The sequence below is a fragment of the Homo sapiens genome, chromosome 3 (assembly GCF_000001405.40).
Source record: "Homo sapiens chromosome 3, GRCh38.p14 Primary Assembly".
In the NCBI taxonomy this organism is placed as follows: Eukaryota; Metazoa; Chordata; class Mammalia; order Primates; family Hominidae; genus Homo; species Homo sapiens.
Genome location: NC_000003.12, coordinates 50,259,714 through 50,277,614, shown reverse-complemented (window position 1 = coordinate 50,277,614; position 17,901 = coordinate 50,259,714). Strand labels below are relative to the sequence as shown.

The window sequence follows — 17,901 nt, the reverse complement described above, 5'->3', positions numbered from 1 at the left end:
CCAAAGGCCCTACAGAACCTGTTCAGTCACGCGGAACCACCTTTTTTTTTTTTTTTTTTTTTTTTTTTGGAGTCTCGCTCTGTCGCCCAGGCTGGAGTGCAGCGGCGAGATCTAGGCTCATTGCAACCTCCACCTCCCAGGTTCAAGCAATTCTCCTGCCTCAGCCTCCTGAGTAGCTAGGATTACAGGCGCCCGCCACCACGCCCGACTAATTTTTTGTATTTTTAGTACAGACGGGGTTTCACCGTGTTAGCCGGGATGGTTTCCATCTCCTGACCTCGTGATCCGTCCGCCTGGGCCTCCGAAAGTGTTGGGATTACAGGCGTGAGCCACCGCGCCTGGCCGGAACCACCTTTAATCCTCACCAGGCAACCTTGGACAGGAGAAACTCGGGCCCTGACACCGCTAGTAAGGTGCCCAAGACCACATAGCAAGGCCGAGGACTGGGGTTTTCTGCTGGGGCCATTCCAGCTTTGGCTGATAATGCGTTTATTGCGTTACTTTAGTACAGTCGGCCTGCCTCGCCCCACCTCCAGCAGCCCAGCCTGTTCACAGCTTTCTGCTCACTGCTCACTACCCAAGGAGGTGGGGTCTGTCTCCCAGGGTGGGCACTCCAGGCACCTCCTCGGCCCTGGTCGTTGCTCTGGAGCTCGGCTTCCCCGTCCCTTCCCTCCGGCTGAATCCTGCGCCCGACCTGTGCCGCCCTCCCGGGGCTGCTACATTCAAGGGTTATCCTGTTAATAAATAAGCCCGCGCAGCTGCCCTCAGCCAGGGCCTGTCGGTTGGTGTCTCCATCGGCCGGTGACCCCCAATGTGCCCGGCCCCAACCCGTCCTTCTTTTCAGGGTCTGTCTGGCTCCTCTCTCGCCTGTCGTCTCCTGCTTGGTTCCCGGCGTGGGGACAGTCTGGTCACCAGTGCGTTGCGCTGCGCGGCCCCCGCTCAGCGCGAGGCTCAGGGGCGTGGGTCCTCCGGTTACGGCCCTTTCTCCGCGACTCCAGGGGCAGTGACTGCAGCGCAGGCTGCGGGCGGCACATGCGCAGGGAGTTCGCGCTGCCACCTCCGCCCGGCTCCACCAGCTGCAGAAAGTCCCGGTACCAGAGTTTGGGGCCCGGCGGCGCGGCGGGCGCAGCCTCCTCGGCCCGCGCCAGTCGTTCGGCCTGCGTAGCACTCAACACGTGCAGCGACAGGCGACGCAGCGGTTGCGTAAAGCCCTGCTCGACGGCGGCGCACAAGTACACGCCCGAGTCCCGGCGCCGCAGCCTGCGCAGCAGTAGTCCCCGGGCGGTGCGCTCGGTGCGCTCCTCTGCCAGCACCTGCGGGCAGAGGGCAGCGTGAGGCGGGGGTGTCGGGCCGGGAACAGGGCTTCCGGGCCCTAGCACGCGACGGAAGAAGCAAAGAGTCATTGGGAGCCGAGGTGGAGCGGGAAAGGGGTGCCCGCAGGCGCACATTTTAAGGCTGAGTGTTTGGGAGCTGGTGGTCTTCAAGGGAGAATCCGAAAGAGGCGGGGTTTACATGAACTTGGTGGGGGGTGGTCAGGGACCTTAATGGGAGGGTCGAGGGCGGGTCTTCTCCTTGATTCAGGGGAGGCGGGTCGGGAGCCCCGTTGGACGCAATGGGGCCTCAGCAGCTTGTGGAGTGCAGGTGAGGGACCAAACTGGACAGGGCGGGGAGTGGGTCTGGTTGGACGGGGCTTCGTTGGGTAGGGCGGGGCCTCTCCTGGATGCAGGGGGTGGGACAGGAGCCTGGCGGGGAGGGCGGAGTAAGGCTCACCTGGGTGTGGGCTGTCACCCCTGCGCGCTGGAAAGTCCACTCCACGCGCGCCTGCAGCGAGCGGGGCTCACACTCCAGAAAGGCGCTGCTGCCCTCCACGCCGAACACCTTGTGTTCCAGCAGCGCGGGACGAGACGAGTCTTGGGGCGAGAAGAAAGTCAGATTTAGGCAAGGCAGGGCAGGTGGGGCGTCTTCTGGGGCTGAGGGTAGGGGCAGCTGGGGCACTCACCTCCGGAGCACAACGTGCTGGGGTCGCCATTCCTTACGTCTTGCCGCCGGAACCGCCTGTGGGGAACATCCGATCTTCTGTGAGCCCTTCTTTCAGCCCCGGGCAGTGAAAGACCCTTCGCCTCCCTCCCGGCGGCCCAACCCCGACCCCGCCCACCTCTTGGCACTGGGCTGGAAGCGCGTGCACGCGACCCCGTCCCAGGCGCAGTAGGGGTCACGCGCCAGACAGCATTCGGTGCAGACGCGGCCGTGGGCAGCGCAGCGGTGCAACGCGATCTGGGCCACCGCGCTCCGCGAGGCTACGTACAGCTGGTGCTAGGGGGCACGAGGGGCTCTGGGCTGACCGAGGGCGACCCCACGCCTGCCTCCCATCGGTCAGGGATCCCTTCTTCCACTCGACAGATGGGAACACTGAGGTCTTACGCCTCAGGTCACACAGTCTAACAAAGCCAGAGCCTGTACTCAAACCCGGGACTGCAAACTACCAAAAGGGGCCAGAGGCTTGGGACGCGCCAGGCACAAGCTCAGTCCATCCCACCCCGACCCCCATCCTGGTCACTCACCCTCTTGGAAGAAATTTGCATGCTGGTGACAGCGGCCGAGTCCTGAGAGGGAGGAGGGGCGACGGGGTCAGGGCTTAGTGGGGTGGGGGGGTCCCGGGCGACTGGGGGTGAGGCCTCACCTCAAACACGTGCAGCTCCTCCAGGAGCAGCCCCTCTGCGCTGGGCCTACTGCCCTTGGGGACCGAGATCACCTTCAGCACCGTGCCAACGTCTGCAGGGATGAGAAGGGGTAATGACCATTGGTGCTCCCGGACAGCTGGGGCTAGTGTCTCCTCGCCTTTGAGGCGTCTACCCTCAGCATGTTTGGGTTGTGAAGAGTGTGGACTGGAAGAGTGTGGGTTGGGCAGCATCCACAGGGTGGAGACACAGCCCAGGAAAGGATGTGGAGATGGGACTGAACAGGGAGAGCTTCCATCAGCAGCCCACAGGGCCTGGCTGGGAGCCTGGGGGTCGCTGTGGAGGGACCCTGACCTGTGCCAATGAAGAGGACGTCATAGTGTCCGTCAGCGGCTGCAACCCGGTCCGCGGCAATTTGAGTGAAGGTGTAATTGGCTCCAACTTGTAGGAAAAGAGGGCGCCCCCCAGTGGGCAGGACAGAGTTGTACATGAGGGGGTGGTTCCGCGCAAACTGGATGACATCGTCTGGGAAGTCCTTGGTGGAACTGAAGGTGCCAAAGGTCTTGCTGGGGCACTGGGGGTGGGGGAAAGGGAGGCACAGCAGGGATATAGATATGGGGGCTTGATAGGCAGCCCTCCATGCCCAGCCTCTGGGAACATGGAGGGGGATGGGGACAGAACCCTGCCCTGAGAATTAGAGAGGAGATCAGCCTTGCCCTAGGAAGTCAGAGGCGGGAAACAAGCCTTGTCTTATGATGGAAACGTTTTCCCACCCATAACTAAAGGAAGAAACCACATTCACCAAGAAGACCCCAGGCCAAGTTCTCAAACCCTTGAGGCTTTGAAGTGGGTTGTAGCAGAAGTCCCTGGGCTACGAACCATGCCTGGCCGCGGGTAGGGGACGCGACCCTGGTATGACACCCACTGGTGCATGGGCCCCTCCTTGTGTGCAAAGGGTCCCAAGAAGGCCCGGCGCACGTCGTTCATGCTGTACACGCACACCGCAGAGCCCTGGAAGATGCTGCTGGAGGCGAAGACCAGGGCGAGGTGAGGGGCCGGGTGGAGCCCAGCGGCCCGCCCCGGGCGCTCCCTACCTCCTGCCCCTCACCTGGACGTGGAGAAGACGGCATAGAGCAGCGGGGTCCGGTGGTCCCGCGAGGACAACAGAAACACATCCTCTGCGGGGAAGGGGCCTAGCTGGGGTAGGGCGCACAGCCCCGCTGCGGCGGGGGCTCCCGGAGTCTGCGCCGCTGCCCCCCTCCCCAACCCCATACCCACTCCCGCACTCACGGAGCTGATCGAAGTGGGTGTCGCCCTCGACGCCGGGCACCGAGCACACCAGCCGCGCCTTCAGGAACGTCGTCCACTTGTTGACCAGGCTGCGCTGGCCGCCCACGTCGTTCTGCCGGGACGATCAAAGGGGATGAGGGCGAGACCAGGGCAGGCAAAGGGGTAGGGGCAGGGTCGCCGGGTGTGGCCCAGGGACTCCTCACCCGGCAGATCTGGCCAACGCGGGACACGGACAGGCGTCCCAGTGCCGGCGCCGCCTCTACCGCCGTCTCACGAAAGAAGAAGTAGATTTTGTCGTCGTCTGGGTTCTCGCTCTCCGGGATCCAAAATACCTTGACAAACTTGGGCTCTGACCGCGGCAGGAGGCATGGGTCAGCGGGTCCTGGCCTTGCCTCCTGATGCGAGACCCACGCGCTGCTTCCCCTTCCCGTAGTGCGGGCACAGCACCCGGGATCACAGTGTCTGACCACCCAACCTCTAGCACCATGTCCAGTTGGCGCTCTGCGCGGACCGAATCCAAAGGATCAGGGCCTGCGAGGCAAGAAGCAGCCGCGAGGGGGCAGCAGAGACCGTGGCTACCTGGGGGCGCAGGCGTGAAGCCCGGCTAGCCTCCGATCTCGCCCCACACGTCGCCCAGCACCTTAGGCTGGGGTAGGAGGGAGATGAGGTAATCTGGTTTCACCTTCACTCATGAATCTTCCTCTCTAGCATAACCAGATGCTCCCCACTCCTGCTTCAAATCCTTCTGCTGGGTCCCATTGCTCTTTATTATTATTATTATTATTATTATTTGTTTATTTATTTATTTTTTGAGACAGTCTCGCTCTGTCGCCCAGGCTGGAGTGCTCGATCTCGGCTCACTGCAACCTCAGCCTCCCAAGTAGCTGAGATTACAGTCAGAGCCTACCACCACACCTGGCTTTTTTTTTTTTTTTTGAGACGAAGTCTCGCTCTATTGCCCAGGCTGGAATGCAGTGGCACAGTCTCCATTCACTGCAACCTCCGCCTCCTAGGTTCAAGCGATTCTCCTGCCTCAGCCTCCTGAGTAGCTGGGATTACAGATGCACACCATCATGCCGGACTAATTTTTGTATATTTAGTAGAGACGGGGTTACACCATGTTGGCCAGGCTGGTCTCAAATGCCTGAACTCAGGTGATCCGCCCGCCTCAGCCTCCCAAAGTGCTGGGATTACAGGTGCACACCACTGCACCCGGCCAATTTTTGTATTTTTTAGTAGAGACAGGGTTTCACCATGTTGGCCAGGCTAGTCTCAAACTCCTGGCCTCAAGCGATTTGCCTGCCTCCGCCTCCCAAAGTGCTGAGATTACAGGTGTGAGCCACTGTGCCCACCAGCCCATAGCCCTTATTTAATTTTTATTTGATTTAGAGACAGGGTCTGCTCTGTCCTGCAGTGGCAGCATCATGGCTCACTGCAGCCTCCAACTCCTGGGCTCAAGTGATCCTTCCATCTCAGCCTCCTGACTAGCCAGGACTACAGGTGTGTGCATGCCACTGCCCCCAGCTAATTTTATTTTATTTTTTGTCTTGCTTTGTAGCCCAGGCTGGTATGAAACTCCTGTCTTCAAGCAATCTGTCTGCCTCAGCCTCCCAAAGTGCTGGGATTACAGGTGCAAGCCATTGTGCCCAGCCCCCATGACTCTTAGAATAAATGACTCTGGCCCCTGACAGTCCAGGCCCCCTTTTCATTGCTAGCTCTGCAAGTCTATTCCTTTGCTTGTTCTTGCATCCAGGCCTTTGCACTAGTTGCTCCCTCTGCCTGGAATGCTCCCTCTGCCTGGAATGCTCATCCCTAAATTTTGCTGGCTAGCTGTCTTGTGCTTGGGAATTAGCTCATACTCCCCTCAGCACAGCGGCTTCCTTTACCCAACCCCCTCCAGCCACCCAGTCTCCTTTTCCCTTCCTCCCTTGTCTCTCTCTGGCCTCAAGGCCATTGGACTTGATCTTATCATGTATGTGATCTGTGAACTCAAAGAGGTCACGGTCATACCTGTCTTGTCTGTCTCTGTGACGCCAGTGCCTGATTAAGGAGGGTATTTGGTAAGACCTGGCCACACCCACTGCTCACTTACTTTATGGGCCTTGCTTGGCACCTGCCCTGTGGGAGGGTGACGACCTCTACCCACCAACCCCACCAGCCTCTCACCATTGAGCCAGCGGGAGTCGTGTGGCTCTGTTCGGAGACTTGGACGTTGCCCTAGGCTGCGAAAGATGGTAAAGTCTCGTCCCATGAGGTCTGCTGCCACCCCTGAGTATAGCTCCTCCCCTGCAGACAGAGCAAGGGCCACTCAGGCAAATGGAGGGCTCTTGGGGCAGGAGGGCCTGGGGAGCTCTGGGAGTGAGTGAGGTTATGGGGGATTCCCTGGAGCTCTTGGGGGTCTTGGGACTTTGTGAGGTTCTAGAGTTTCTAAGGGGTTCTCTTGGGGCCTTAGCCCTTGGACTCACCCACCAGCACGGAGGCAGCCCGATGCCTGGGGTCATAAGGACTCTTCCCCTTGCCATCCTCTATCCTTCCTGGGTCCAGCCGGAGGACGGGCTCCTGGGAGGTGTGGCAAGTTGTGACTACCAGGCCCTTCTTACCCTCCTGACCTCCCTCCCTGCCTAGATCCGGCCTTACCTCTGCCCGGTGGCCCACTTCCACAAAGGCACAGGTTGGGTGGAAGGCTCCCGTGCCACAGGCCAGCAAATGGGTGCGGTTGTAGGCATGCAGCAACTTCACGAAGTTCATGCACTCAGTCTAGTAGGGTTGGAGGTGTGAGGCTTCCCCCAGGGACGTAGCCTTAAGAGGTCCCAGCTCACCAGTGGCATCCTCACCCCTCCCTCTCTTCGGCATCAGCCCAGGCAAGTACTAACATGGGCTACAGGGACCTGGGGGCCCTTGCTGACCAGCCCAGGCCTCACGAGGGTGGGTGTCTGGGGAAGCACAGGCCTGCAAAGCCTCCCATGACTCAGAGGCACCCCAGAAGAATTACACGAGCCCCCACCCTGACTCACCACCCCCAGACCTCAGCCACCTCGACCTCCCTGCCCTCATCCCAGCCAGAACAGGCAGGCCTCTGTTTTAGCCCTGCCCTGTCTCTGGGGTGAGGGGCTGACCCTCCCCACTCCCGGCCCGGGCAGCTGGCACTCACACCAATGTCCTTCCCTGCCCAGTTGCACTCCTCTCGCCATTCCACAGGGGCCGGCCAGGCCAGCTATCGGGAGGTTGGGGGAGAGGGGACACAGGTCAGGAACTTGGGATATTCTCTACCTCAGGGAGCCATTCCTCTGGGTCTCTCCAGGCTGGAGTGGGGTCCCAGGGCTCCTTCCCTGGGGAGTGCTGGGGTTGGGAGTCCCTGGCACCTTCTTGGCCCGCTTGCTGATGTTGTCCAGGTTGAGGGAGGCCACATGGTTCTCGGCACCCACAAACAGGCGTCCACGCTCCTCATCCACCAGCAAGGCCTGGTAGCAGCAGGTTCGCTCCAGGCTGAAAGTCTGGAGACCATGCCAGGCCTGGAGCTCTGCAGGGCAGGACACTGCTGATGACTCGCCAGCCATGCTGGAAGCCTCCCCCAGGTCCTGCCTGGTGGTGACTCTATCGGCCAAGGTTGCCATTAGGACCTGGCCTGTACACATGTGAGTTTACATGTGTGTGAGTTTACACACGCAAACCCAAGCCCACCCAGGTGCACGTGTGGAGCTGCCAGGGTAGGTGGTACATCCCCCCAGGAAGAGGAAGGCAGGTTGAACTTGGGCATGCTCAGACAGGTGGTGTCTCCAGGCGGGCGCACTGGGAGGCAAGGCTTATGGACACCAGAGTCCTGGGGGAGACTGGCATGCAGGGATGGCCAGAACCCCAACTCCCAAAAGTCAGGCTGAGAGTTCCTTTCCTGCCACTCCACCACCAGCCTGAGCTCAGCAGAACTGCCTATTCACTGCCACTGCCCAGGGGCCACCCTCCTATACAGGAGGCATGAGAAGGGGGCTCTGACTTCCCTGTTGCTCTGCTGAAGGAGTATCGCCTTGTTGGGGGTACTGAACGGAACAGAGACAAGGTCTGTTGCTGTGGGGACAGGAGGGGTCTTCCTGAGAAAGCACGAAGAGAATGTGGGCAGAGGCTGGGGGCTGAGGCCCGGACAGGGTTAACTGGAGGTGGCCTGAGAGTGCCCACTAATCCTACCAGAGTCTGGTGACAGGCACGCACATGGGGCAACAGCCAACACAGAGCCCCCTGGCCATACGGGGACCCTTTCCTGCCCACCTCAAGCTGGGCCCTCCCGCCTGCCAGGTGCACCTACCTTGGAAGGAGAGCCGAAGGCGTGGGGGGCTGGGGGCGGCACTCCCCAGCCCCACTGCCCAGAGCAGGGCCAGGCCCGGGATCACGGCGGCAGCCCCGGCCCGCCCCATCTCAGCAGCTCAGGGTGCTCAGGGTTCAGCGGGTGTGTGTGTGGAGGAGCCTTGAGCTGCCCTGGACTCTGCCCCAGGATCTGGAAGAGGAGTCAGCAGTGAGGGCGAGGGCGGGAGGCTAGGGGGGGAGTCCCCAGGGATCAGATTACAGCCCCTAGGGGAAAGAGGCTGGGGGGTCGCATTCCACTTCCGAACCCTCCCCTCCGAGGGTGCCCCGCCTGGCCACAATCACAGACACACCCACGCCACTGGGCACACCCTCAGGGTCACCCTGCACTGGCAAGCCCGCCTCACCACGTCACCCTTCCCAGTAATCTCCTCTCTTGTATACACACTCACAGACATTAATTCACAATGTGCCACCCACTTCATGCCAGCCTAGACCTGGGAGGAGGGATACTGGGAGACATAGACAAGGTCCCCATGTGAAAGGGGACAGAGTGCCAACAAGGAATCAGATGGATGCAGAGGGTGCCAAGTGCAATGAGCAAAACAAGCCAGTCAAAAGAGTGAGAGTGACAGGAGGGGGTCAGGCCTCTGGAGGTGGCAGTGTCCCCACAGTCCCGCAGAAAAACACAGAGACACTTTTGAGGCTGGAGCCAAGGGTGTGGGTGCCTGTGAATGTGTTTCCGAGTGTCCCCTTGTGATGTGCGCATGTGTGTAGTGTGTATGTGCATGTGTGTGCACATCTATGTGCAAATATATAGTGTGTCATATTGCACATGTGTGGATATGGGTTGGTGTGCACACACATGTGGCACTGTGCAATCCATGCAGTACATATGTGTGATATGTGCATATTTTGCACACAGATGTGTTGCACATTTGTGCATGTGCAAACGTGTGCACCCATAAGAATAGACATGTCTCTGGGCATGCAAGTGAGCAAATCCAACTGCAGCATCAATCACTCCATTCCTCAGAGGGAGAAGTGCTACCCAGGAGACCCAAGACCTGGGCAGAAGCCTCAGCCTCTGACTTGGGGACTGCTCCCAACCCAGCTGAAGCAGCCTCTGCATTTGAGCTTGAGGGCTCTCTCTCCACACCCCTGAGGAATCAAAGAGGGGCAAGGTGAGGCAGCCCTTCATTTGCACCCCAGCCTCCTGGCCTCGCTGAGCTGGCCTTCCCTCTCAACGCCTCCACAGCCTCTCTGAGCCTCTCCCTTCACTTCTCTCACCCCTTGAGTTCTTCCCCATCTTTGAGCCCCTTCACTCTAGGAGCCAGACACCTCCCCCTGGCCCTCAGCTGGGGCAAAGACCTGGCTGCTATGCCCACCCTCCTTCCCAGGGGTCAGCTGGGCAGGTGCTGGACACAGGAGCCCAGGGAGTGGGACAAGGTTCCAGGTGGGATTAAGCAAGTGGAGCAGCTGCTGAGGCAGGTTCCAGGCCCCTCCACCCACACTCCTGCCCAGCTCCTGGCCCCATCCCAGGCCAGGACCCCCACCTCCCTCCTTCCCTCCGCTGACACTTGCCGCTGCCTCTTCTCAGGTTCTAGAGGTCTTCCAGGCCAACACTGGCTGCCTTCTCACACTCCACCGAGGACTTCCGCAGCAGCATCTCTCCACTCTGGCCCCTTCCCACCCTGGGGCCGCTGGGGACCCTCTGACGGCTCCTTTAAGAAGCAGCCCCCGCCCCCACCAGGCCAGCCACCGCCCCACGCACCGCCCGCCGTGCCGTAAAGTTTAGAGGGCGGATCGGGTGACCGGGCAGGCAGCCGGGACCAGCTGGAGACGGCAGCCAGGCGGGAGTGGAATGGGCACAAGGGAGGGGCTGGTAGGGACGACCCCTCCCATATTGGGCCTTAAAGCAGAAGGGTGCCCCAGGTGGCGGTCCCAGAAGCCAGGTGGCCAGCCAAGGCAAGGGAGGAAGAAACCCCAGCTCCAGGGGCTCAGCAGGCAAAGGGAATCACTGAGTGGGGGCACCACCCGTGGACTCCAATATCTCAACCTCTCCCTCCACAGGTGGGGAGCTGTGGGGAAAGATAATGGGGAGCTCAGCTGCCACCTCAGTTCCCAGGGACCGGCTGGGGTGGCCGGGCAGCTGGAGGTCAGGGGAGGGGCTCTCAACTGGAGGTCGGATGGGCCCTCAGGACCCAGTCCCCATCCTTCCTCAACACTTGGGCCACTTAGTACTTCAGTGGCCTGGCCAGCAGTGGCTTCTACCATGACAGCCAGATAGGGGAGGGAGAGGAGGGCAGGAGAGGGGCAGACGCAGGAGGAGCAGCAAATCTCACTTCTGCACCACAGGGCGGGGCCCATCTGGAGTCCGCCATCCTGGACAGGTAGCTTTGCATCTCTGCTGAGAGGTTGGGGGGCAGACCATGTGACCTCCCTTCCTCTGGCTTCTCTTTCTAGGTTGGAGGTGGGAGGAACAACCCCCACCAAACCCAGAGCCGAAAACTGAGGGAGTTTTACAGACAGGACGGAGCTCCTGCACCTCGGAGCCTCAGTTGGGAATGACCTGGGGTCTTGTCCTGAAGCTGAGTCTGGTGAACGTGCCCCATTTGTAACATGAGGGGTACTTCTCTGGAGGGACTGTATGTTGACAGTGGCAGAGTGGAGCCCTGAAGTCCACCTGAGTGAATATACCAGGGCTTGAGAATGGGCTTTGATCCTTCCATCCCCGCAAAAGGCATTTTCCTACCACCTCCCAAGGCTGATGGGGCAGTGTGGGCATTTCAAGTGTTGCAGTTCTGTTGCCCAGCCCTGGATGCCTCCAGCCAAGCAAGGACAGAGGTGGGGGGCACATCTCCAAGTCCCCTGGAAGTGGAAGTGGGGCTATGCCCCTCCTTCCTGAGCCTGAGGACCTGGTATACCTGGCCTGGCCTGGCCAGCTGGCAGGTAAATAACAGGGGCCAGTGGGAGCCGCAGGGCCCTTCAGGAGGGCAAGTGGAAGGACAGATCCCTGCCTGGGCTCGTGGGCTTCCTGGATGTGGCCTTTTCCTACTCCAGGAGTAGCTGCCTCTAGCCTTAGAGGACCTGGGCAGGCTCTCCTGGCTCCATGCAAGCAGACAACATTCTTTGGCTGTTTACAGCTTTCCACCCAAGCAGCCAGGATCAGCAAGTGCCTCAGAGGCTCCCATCCACTCCCACTGTGCCCCCATAGGCCCTCACTGCCTTATGTTTTTCCAGGCCCAGGGGCCCTGTCTCTGTTTCATCACCCCGCACCTTCCTCCACCTGTGTTCACTCTGGGAAACGGTATCAGAAACCCCCCCGCCACCGCCATTATCTTTCCAATAGCCTGGGAGTCAACCCCCAGCCAAAAGGACTAGACTGTCTCTGTCCCCATTGAGTGCTGTGCCCTGTCCTCTGTCCTCTAGATGTGTACCCTCCCTTGAGTAGGAATGGAGGTCTCCAGGGATGGGAGGTCAAGTTGTCCCTGATTCCACATGGTCCCCTTTCTGTTCCTCAGCCCCAGGTCCAGTGTGCCAGGCCATGGGTAGGGGCCCCCATGGAGGTCAGCACTCCAGGAGCAAGGTCACTGCCTGTGGGTCACACTGGGGGCTGGAACTCCTCGAGGATTCTGGAATCAGGCAGCCTGAGCCTGAGTCTCAACAGAATGGGGCAAACCAGGCAAGGCAGCTGGGGTCCCTTTTCCTGCCTGTACTCCTACCCTGGACCTCTCTCTTTTGAGGGAGCTTCCATGGGCAGAGACCTGCCTGGGTCCTTGCTCTGGGGCTGCCTGTCAGTGGCATGGCCTACCACGGCCTTGGCTTTTCCTTCTGGAAAAACCTGGATTGTTGTGCCAAATCTCAGCACCTGCCTCCCCACCCCTGGCCACCAGCTGGGCCTGCCCCTTTGCCCCTGCCTGGACTCCGGGTGGTGTGGTTGGGGTGGGACACCCATCTGAGGAAGGTTGTGGCAACCCTCCCAGTGCAGCCTGGACTGGATGGGATCTTGGGCGCCCCACTCACACCTGCTTTAGTCATCAGGGCTTGTGGCTCCAACGTCACAACTCTTCCTTGTTCTGGCCACGTAGGTACCAGGTCATGCTGCCCAGAGGACTTAGGCACAGTGGGGGCAGGCGTGGGCGGCCATAGGATCATCACCTGAGGCCTAACTTCCCAGACACTCTAAGGCCCTGCCCCAGGGGCATCTCCTGGGGAAGCGTCTGCAGGCATGTCCTCACCCCAGCCTGGTCTCCACATTCCCAGGGAACCCTGGCCCACCTTTTTTGAAAGATTAGCTCCTCCCCTCCTTGCCTGTTCCCCTTCCCTTCTGAGGGCCCTGTCAGAACTGAGATGGAGGTGCTGAGGGAGGGGCTACCAAGAACCCTGGGCCTTTGGCTGTGGCCCTACCCCCGCCTGCCCCACCCCTGCCCTCCCCTCCTGCACATTCCTCCCAGGCTGAGGTCAGCCCTTCTGGGATGCGGGAGCCCCCCCAACCAGCCACATCACAGCTCTTCCCTCACTCCTGTTTTCCTCATTGCCCAGCAGGGAGGAGTGGGAGGAGAGGGGGCTGGGGGCGGGGCCTCCCTCTCCCTCCCTCCTCTGGAGCCCGGCAGGGTGGAGGGGGCTATGCCAGGAATGCTGGAAAGTGGACTCTGAGGGCACACTGCACTCATGAACAGACATTTACATAAATACTACATTCTCCTAACTGGCTAGGGGAGAGCCTCCCAGGAGTACTGGGTATGGGGCTCTGAATGCTCTGGGGGAGGGCTGAGGAGTCTGGAGCCAGCCCCAAGGATCAACCCCCTTGTTAGTCCAGCAGGAGGTGGGGCTGAATCCCTACCCTGCCGCTTAGCCGACCCCGTGGCCCTAGCTGGAGTCTGCACCTCTCATTTTCCCTGCAGCTGCAGACAGTGGCCAGGCAGGTCTGGCACACAGTGGGGGTACCACAGGTATGCACTCTTGCTGCCACCTTAGCTCTGGGCATCTTGGGCACCCAGGCCTATGAGGGCCTCAGAGAAACCCTCCACTGCTGCCTCTTCCATCCCAGCTGAACAAGGCCCCTTCTCGGGCTCAGCTCCTCTCTTGTCCCCTTTTGCTGTGCCCCTCACCCCAGTACTTTTTTTTTTCTTCTTTTTTTTGAGACAGGATCTTGCTTTGTCACCCAGGGTGGAGTGCAGTGGTGGGATCATGGCTCATGGCAGCCTCAACCTGCCGAGCTCAAGTGATCCTCCCACCTCAACCTCCTGAGTAGCTGGGACTACAGGCATGTGCCACCATGCCTAGCTAATTTTTTTGTATTATTATTTTTTTTTGGTAGAGATGAGGTTTTGTCATGTTGCCCAGGCTGGTCTTGAACTCCTGGGCTCAAGCAGTCCTCCTGCCTTGGCCTCCCAAAGTGCTGGGATTAGAGGCATGAGTCACCGCTCCCGGCCACCTCAGTACAATTACTTCCTCAACCCTCTGACCCCAGGGTTCTCTTGACCCCAGGGTCCTCAACCCTCTGTGCCCAGGGTTCTACTTTAACCTCCCTCCCTCCCCTGGGTGGGGACTCCTCAGTCTTCTCCCTTCCCAAGTCCCCAACCCACCCCTGGCACTGCCAAGCCTGCCCTCCTGAGAGCCCCTACCTTTTGTCTTACTTAGGACAAGCACTGACCCCTTTACCCTCCCCCAGGCTGTATCCCTGGGGTCATTCTGTCATTTCTCTCCCCATGCCTCCCCTCTGCAGGACCGTGTCCCTGACCCCTGACTCAGAGAGCTTGCTGAAGTTTGGCGGGATTGCAGGCTTTTAGCTTGGCATTCACAGGGCCACTCTCTTTTTCATCTTTTTTTTTTTTTTTTTTTTTTTTTTTGAGACAGGATCTTGCTTTGCCACCCAGGCTGGAGTGCAGTGGCAAGATCATGGCCCACAGCAGCCTTGACCTCCAGAACTCAAGTGATCCCCCCACCTCAGCCTCCCGAGGAGCTGGGACTCCAGGCACACACCACAACACACAGTTAATTTTTGTATTTTTTGTAAAAATGGAGGTCTCACTATGTTGCCCAGGCTGATCTTGAACTCCTGGGTTCAAGTTATCCTCCTCCTGCCTCAGCCTCCCAAAGTGTTGGAATTATAGGCCTGAGCTACCACACCGAGGCCACAGGACCACTCTGAAGCTTGGTGTAGCTTCCAGTACTCCACCTGCCCCATTTCTGGGATGCATTAGCTCTTTTGTTGCCAAGACTTTGCTTGCGCTGTGCCCTCCACCCTTTAGACCCTTCCCCTTGTCACCTGCTGGACTTCTCACCGTTCATGATCCACCTTGGCTGTCACCCGTCTTCTGTGTAATTCCAGACCCCTGTGGTGCCAGGTTCAAGCCTCTGGGCAGGGCTCTGTGTTCCCCACTGTGGGGGAAGCAGCAAGGGCTATAATCACTGGAGAACCCAGGACCCAGCAGAGGACAGGCACAGGGAGGCGGGAGATGGTGTGCCCGCAGGAAGCCCTTCCACCTTCCTAGGCATGCTGAGTCTCCACGGGGTTGGAAGACGGATGGAGAAAGGACACCCCTTAACCCTGTCCCAGTCCCCCAGGCCTTGATGACCCTGACCTCAGTAAGGTCAGAAAGCAGAAGGCAGTGGGATGAGATGTCAAACTCTGATTTTTCTCCCAGCCAAGATCACCAGGGACTGTGGGGCTGCATCTCTGGCAAGGGGAGAAAAGGACCCATGGCCTTGACTTCTGCTCCTCTTGGATATTAGTGCCCATCACCGTGTGACTGAGGGCTGAGTGGCTTGCAGGCATGGACATATTTGCTGCCACACAGCTGCATACATACCCCAGCTGACTGGAGGCCATCCCCCTGGGTGATGAGAGGTGCTGCCTTCCCTCTGGTAGTCCATGGTAGAGATGAGGACCGCTAGGATCTTTTGTTTTTAAGAGACGGGGTCTTGCTATGTTGCCCAGGCTGGTCTCAAACTTTTGGCCTCAAGTGATCCTCCTGCCTTGGCCTCCAAAAGTGCTGGGATTAAGGCATGAGCCACTACATCCAGTCAGGGTCTCCTTTTATTTATTTTTTTGAGATGGAGTCTCGCTCAGCCACCTAGGCTAGAGTGCAGTGGCACAATCTTGGCTCACTGCAACCACCGTCTCCTGGGTTCAAGTGATTCTCCTGTTTCAGCCTCCTGAGTAGCTGGGATTACAGGCACCCGTCATCATGCCCAGCTAATTTTTGTATTTTAGTAGAGACGGGGTTTCACCATGTTGGCCAGGCTGGTCTTGAACTCCTGATCTCAAGTGATCCGCCCACCTTGGCCTCCCAAAGTGCTAGGATTACAGGCGTGAGCCACCACACCCAGCCCCAGGGTCTCTTTTTAGGGCAGCAGACACAGAGATTGGGGTCAGTTTTGGGGAGTGGGGCCAGACCCAGAACTCAGCCAAACAATACTGTAGTCTTGTCCTTGCCTCCTCCCTGACTCCCTGACTCCTAGGGTTGCTAGGACTTGGCTGGCTATGCCACTGACCAGGCAGCTGGAGTCAGGGCTTGTATTCTCTACTCAACTGGTTTGCCACTCAGTTTGGGTGGGGTGGGGTGAAATGATTCTGGGGAACTGAGAGGACTAAGTTTTCCTGACATCAGAAGCCATGGGGCTCCCTGGAACATGGGACTTCTTCCAGGCCTTGGCAGCCCCTGCAGCCTCGGTGATCCCTGCTGTAACCCTGGAGAGGGCCCTTTCCCCCTTCTGCACCTGGCATCTAGGTCTGCACCTACCTGCTGGGACAGGGGGTGGTACAGGGGGGGTGTCTAGGCCTGGGGAACTACCGAGGCAGCCTGCCTGGCTCCTCCTCACTGAGTTTCCCTCTACTCTCCTCTCTCAGGCCTCTCTGACTCTGAAAGCTTGCCTCTCTCTTCCTAGCTGCTCCCCCACCCCCCAAATGGGTTAAAAATACCAAAGTTCCCACCACATCAGTAGCCGGAGCAATTATTTCAAGTGGGCCAGGCCCTCTGGGAGGCAGATCAACTTCATGGCAGTCTCCACAGGCTGGAGACAACTCACCCCACGCTGGGAGCATGAGCCTGGGTCCCTGCCCAGCTCTGCATGTCCTGCTAAGGGTCCTGGGCCTCACAGCTGCAGTTCTCCATGCGTGGAGACAGAAAGATGGGGCTTCTTAGGCTGGGAGGGCTCTGGGGATGCAGCGCCAGGGAGCATTGAATTTCTGGTGCTCCTCACCCAACTGCTCCTGAGGGTTGATGAATGGTTGAGGTCCAGCCTGGGACAGCTCCAGGCAGCAGGGGATGCCCAGGAACCAACCTCATGGAGTCCCTTCAGTTGGGGTGCAGGACACCTGGGCAGCCCCTTCCTGCCTGCAGCCCCCCATGGCTGGGAATTTCCCAACCACCAAACACAAGGCTGAATTGACAGGCCGCCTCCACCAGTGCTGGGACAATGGAGCCTTATGCCCTGGAAATCTGAGCCTGGGTGGGAGGCCGGGGCAGGTGGAGGCCTAGCTGTCTGCACTCAGGGAAGCCCTGCCCCCAGGATCCCACCCAGACCCACTGCCAAGACGGCACCAGGGCAATCCTGTCAAGGCCCCGCATGGCCCACCCAGGGAGGGAGGCACTGGGTGAGTTAGGCAGACAATGCCAGGCCCTCAATGGTCCCTCTGTGCAGGGTTCCCCCTCAGGACAGAAGGAAGGAACCATCTCCCGCCCGCTTCCTGCTGGGCGGGCATCGGGGCTCTGGCGCTCCTGCTCGCACATCTGCGGCTCAGCGGGGTCCAGGCCTGGGCCTCTGAAAGAAGGCGGGGACCTGGGTTGGGCGCAGGATCCTGTTCTCCGTGTCGTCGGCCCTCGCAGGCAGGGGCAGCAGGAAAGGCCCGAGGAACTGGGGCGGGGACCGGGCCTGGGGGGCGCCGATGTCCTTCCGACCGGGCGGCAGCAGCCTTTCATCTCCTGCCAGTGCCGGCGGCCGAAGCTACGGGGCACTGGCAGGTGTGCGGGGACGGGGTCCCGGGTCTCTGGCTCAACCCTCCAACCCTCCCTCCCTCCCCGCCTCCGCGGCGCCGACCCCGGCCCGCCCTCTGCCCAGGCCGCTCTGTCCTGGGGCGGCCGCGGAGCCGTCGCCGCCTCACAAAGCTGCCTTTGTGTCCAGCGGCCTCCGCGGGACCCGCTGACGTCAGCCTCTGTGACCAGCCAGGCAGGGCAGAGCACGGGCGGCGGCGCCCCCTGGCGGCCGGAGGCGGATGCGCCAACGCCGGAGCCCCACCCAGTCGAGGCCAGCCTTTCCGCGAGCCCGCCCCCACACGTTCAGGCCGCGGCTGCCCCCGGGAGAAGGTCCAGGCGCCTCGATGGCACTCAGGGCCCGCCCCACAAGCATCACCAGCCTTGCCATCTGCAATTCCCTTCCCCAGAAACGCGCGGGCCCTTCCCACAGCCTCATGGAGCCTTCCATCTTCAGAGTCAATGATCTGCAGCTCTCCAGGCCCAGCCTGGGGCAACCATCACATGGTAGTATGGCCACCTGTCACTACCCTTCAGGTTTGGCGGCGGCCCTCTGGGGCAGGGAACTTTCTGAATATGTCTTAAGGCCCCTACTGGCCTTTTTAGTCAAGCCAGGACTGCATGCGGCCCACCTGGCTGTGTGGCCTTGGCAACGGACA

General features: G+C 60.1%; 1 protein-coding gene, 2 long non-coding RNA genes and 1 other non-coding gene across 14 annotated transcripts, besides 12 other annotated features; 1 reads left to right on the top strand and 3 right to left on the bottom strand.

Annotated features, from left to right (window-relative positions):
• SEMA3B (semaphorin 3B) lies at nt 69-17,389 on the bottom strand. Of its 10 annotated transcripts, NM_001435958.1 has the most exons (21): nt 17,052-17,389; nt 16,299-16,482; nt 14,552-14,648; nt 9,846-10,947; nt 8,266-8,454; nt 7,331-7,488; nt 7,120-7,182; nt 6,606-6,725; nt 6,434-6,527; nt 6,135-6,254; nt 4,172-4,317; nt 3,969-4,080; nt 3,787-3,856; nt 3,558-3,699; nt 3,033-3,252; nt 2,681-2,772; nt 2,562-2,603; nt 2,156-2,313; nt 2,000-2,055; nt 1,771-1,910; nt 450-1,313 (listed from the first exon to the last, which is right to left on the bottom strand). In NM_001435958.1, exons 5-21 carry the CDS (start codon nt 8,372-8,374, stop codon nt 909-911), a joined length of 2,247 nt encoding a protein of 748 aa, NP_001422887.1. In that variant the 5' UTR covers nt 8,375-8,454; nt 9,846-10,947; nt 14,552-14,648; nt 16,299-16,482; nt 17,052-17,389; the 3' UTR covers nt 450-908. The 10 variants fall into 10 exon arrangements, 9 of the variants coding, with proteins under 9 accessions (NP_004627.1, NP_001005914.1, NP_001276989.1 ...); NM_001435956.1 differs by lacking the exon at nt 9,846-10,947 and having other exon boundaries at nt 3,558-3,702; NM_001435957.1 differs by lacking the exon at nt 9,846-10,947.
• Nucleotides 3,739-4,262: an enhancer, noted in NCBI's record as "H3K27ac-H3K4me1 hESC enhancer chr3:50310784-50311307 (GRCh37/hg19 assembly coordinates)". NCBI's record gives its function as "activates a minimal SCP1, AML or CMV promoter by ChIP-STARR-seq in naive H9 embryonic stem cells {active_cell/tissue: H9 hESC(naive)}" and the evidence as "EXISTENCE:reporter gene assay evidence [ECO:0000049][PMID:30033119]".
• Nucleotides 4,241-4,440: an enhancer, noted in NCBI's record as "active region_19897". NCBI's record gives its function as "activates an Ori minimal core promoter by ATAC-STARR-seq in GM12878 lymphoblastoid cells {active_cell/tissue: GM12878}" and the evidence as "EXISTENCE:reporter gene assay evidence [ECO:0000049][PMID:35858748]".
• On the bottom strand, nt 4,318-4,379 carry MIR6872 (microRNA 6872). Its single transcript, NR_106932.1, has one exon. It is a non-coding gene; the product is annotated as a microRNA 6872 (primary transcript).
• SEMA3B-AS1 (SEMA3B antisense RNA 1) lies at nt 10,244-10,974 on the top strand. The gene is made up of 2 exons (NR_110702.1): nt 10,244-10,334; nt 10,728-10,974. It is a non-coding gene; the product is annotated as an SEMA3B antisense RNA 1 (long non-coding RNA).
• Nucleotides 12,113-12,688: an enhancer, noted in NCBI's record as "H3K27ac-H3K4me1 hESC enhancer chr3:50302359-50302934 (GRCh37/hg19 assembly coordinates)". NCBI's record gives its function as "activates a minimal SCP1, AML or CMV promoter by ChIP-STARR-seq in naive H9 embryonic stem cells {active_cell/tissue: H9 hESC(naive)}" and the evidence as "EXISTENCE:reporter gene assay evidence [ECO:0000049][PMID:30033119]".
• Nucleotides 12,113-13,262: a biological region, named in NCBI's record as "H3K27ac-H3K4me1 hESC enhancers GRCh37_chr3:50301785-50302358 and GRCh37_chr3:50302359-50302934".
• Nucleotides 12,564-12,858: an enhancer, noted in NCBI's record as "tiled region #8430; HepG2 Activating DNase unmatched - State 1:Tss". NCBI's record gives its function as "activates a minimal TATA promoter and a strong SV40 promoter by Sharpr-MPRA in HepG2 cells {active_cell/tissue: HepG2}" and the evidence as "EXISTENCE:reporter gene assay evidence [ECO:0000049][PMID:27701403]".
• Nucleotides 12,689-13,262: an enhancer, noted in NCBI's record as "H3K27ac-H3K4me1 hESC enhancer chr3:50301785-50302358 (GRCh37/hg19 assembly coordinates)". NCBI's record gives its function as "activates a minimal SCP1, AML or CMV promoter by ChIP-STARR-seq in naive H9 embryonic stem cells {active_cell/tissue: H9 hESC(naive)}" and the evidence as "EXISTENCE:reporter gene assay evidence [ECO:0000049][PMID:30033119]".
• Nucleotides 13,263-13,838: an enhancer, noted in NCBI's record as "H3K27ac-H3K4me1 hESC enhancer chr3:50301209-50301784 (GRCh37/hg19 assembly coordinates)". NCBI's record gives its function as "activates a minimal SCP1, AML or CMV promoter by ChIP-STARR-seq in naive H9 embryonic stem cells {active_cell/tissue: H9 hESC(naive)}" and the evidence as "EXISTENCE:reporter gene assay evidence [ECO:0000049][PMID:30033119]".
• Nucleotides 14,257-17,389, bottom strand: LINC03143 (long intergenic non-protein coding RNA 3143). Of its 2 annotated transcripts, NR_198940.1 has the most exons (2): nt 15,080-17,389; nt 14,257-14,648 (listed from the first exon to the last, which is right to left on the bottom strand). It is a non-coding gene; the product is annotated as a long intergenic non-protein coding RNA 3143 (long non-coding RNA). The 2 variants fall into 2 exon arrangements; NR_198941.1 differs by having other exon boundaries at nt 14,257-17,389.
• Nucleotides 15,882-16,386: an enhancer, noted in NCBI's record as "H3K4me1 hESC enhancer chr3:50298661-50299165 (GRCh37/hg19 assembly coordinates)". NCBI's record gives its function as "activates a minimal SCP1, AML or CMV promoter by ChIP-STARR-seq in naive H9 embryonic stem cells {active_cell/tissue: H9 hESC(naive)}" and the evidence as "EXISTENCE:reporter gene assay evidence [ECO:0000049][PMID:30033119]".
• Nucleotides 16,894-17,399: an enhancer, noted in NCBI's record as "H3K27ac-H3K4me1 hESC enhancer chr3:50297648-50298153 (GRCh37/hg19 assembly coordinates)". NCBI's record gives its function as "activates a minimal SCP1, AML or CMV promoter by ChIP-STARR-seq in primed H9 embryonic stem cells {active_cell/tissue: H9 hESC(primed)}" and the evidence as "EXISTENCE:reporter gene assay evidence [ECO:0000049][PMID:30033119]".
• Nucleotides 16,894-17,598: a biological region, named in NCBI's record as "H3K27ac-H3K4me1 hESC enhancer GRCh37_chr3:50297648-50298153".
• Nucleotides 16,909-17,008: an enhancer, noted in NCBI's record as "active region_19896". NCBI's record gives its function as "activates an Ori minimal core promoter by ATAC-STARR-seq in GM12878 lymphoblastoid cells {active_cell/tissue: GM12878}" and the evidence as "EXISTENCE:reporter gene assay evidence [ECO:0000049][PMID:35858748]".
• Nucleotides 17,179-17,598: a silencer, noted in NCBI's record as "silent region_14389". NCBI's record gives its function as "represses an Ori minimal core promoter by ATAC-STARR-seq in GM12878 lymphoblastoid cells {active_cell/tissue: GM12878}" and the evidence as "EXISTENCE:reporter gene assay evidence [ECO:0000049][PMID:35858748]".

Excerpts from the sequence above, each read along its gene's own strand:
- SEMA3B (NM_001290061.1), bottom strand. The coding sequence starts at position 8,374 with ATGGGGCGGGCCGGGGCTGCCGCCGTGATCCCGGGCCTGGCCCTGCTC. Across the intron at positions 6,528-6,605 it reads AAGTGGGCCACCGGGCAGAG|GAGCCCGTCCTCCGGCTGGA; the intron begins GTAAGGCCGGAT and ends CACACCTCCCAG. Across the intron at positions 1,314-1,770 it reads GGGTGACAGCCCACACCCAG|GTGCTGGCAGAGGAGCGCAC; the intron begins GTGAGCCTTACT and ends CTCTGCCCGCAG.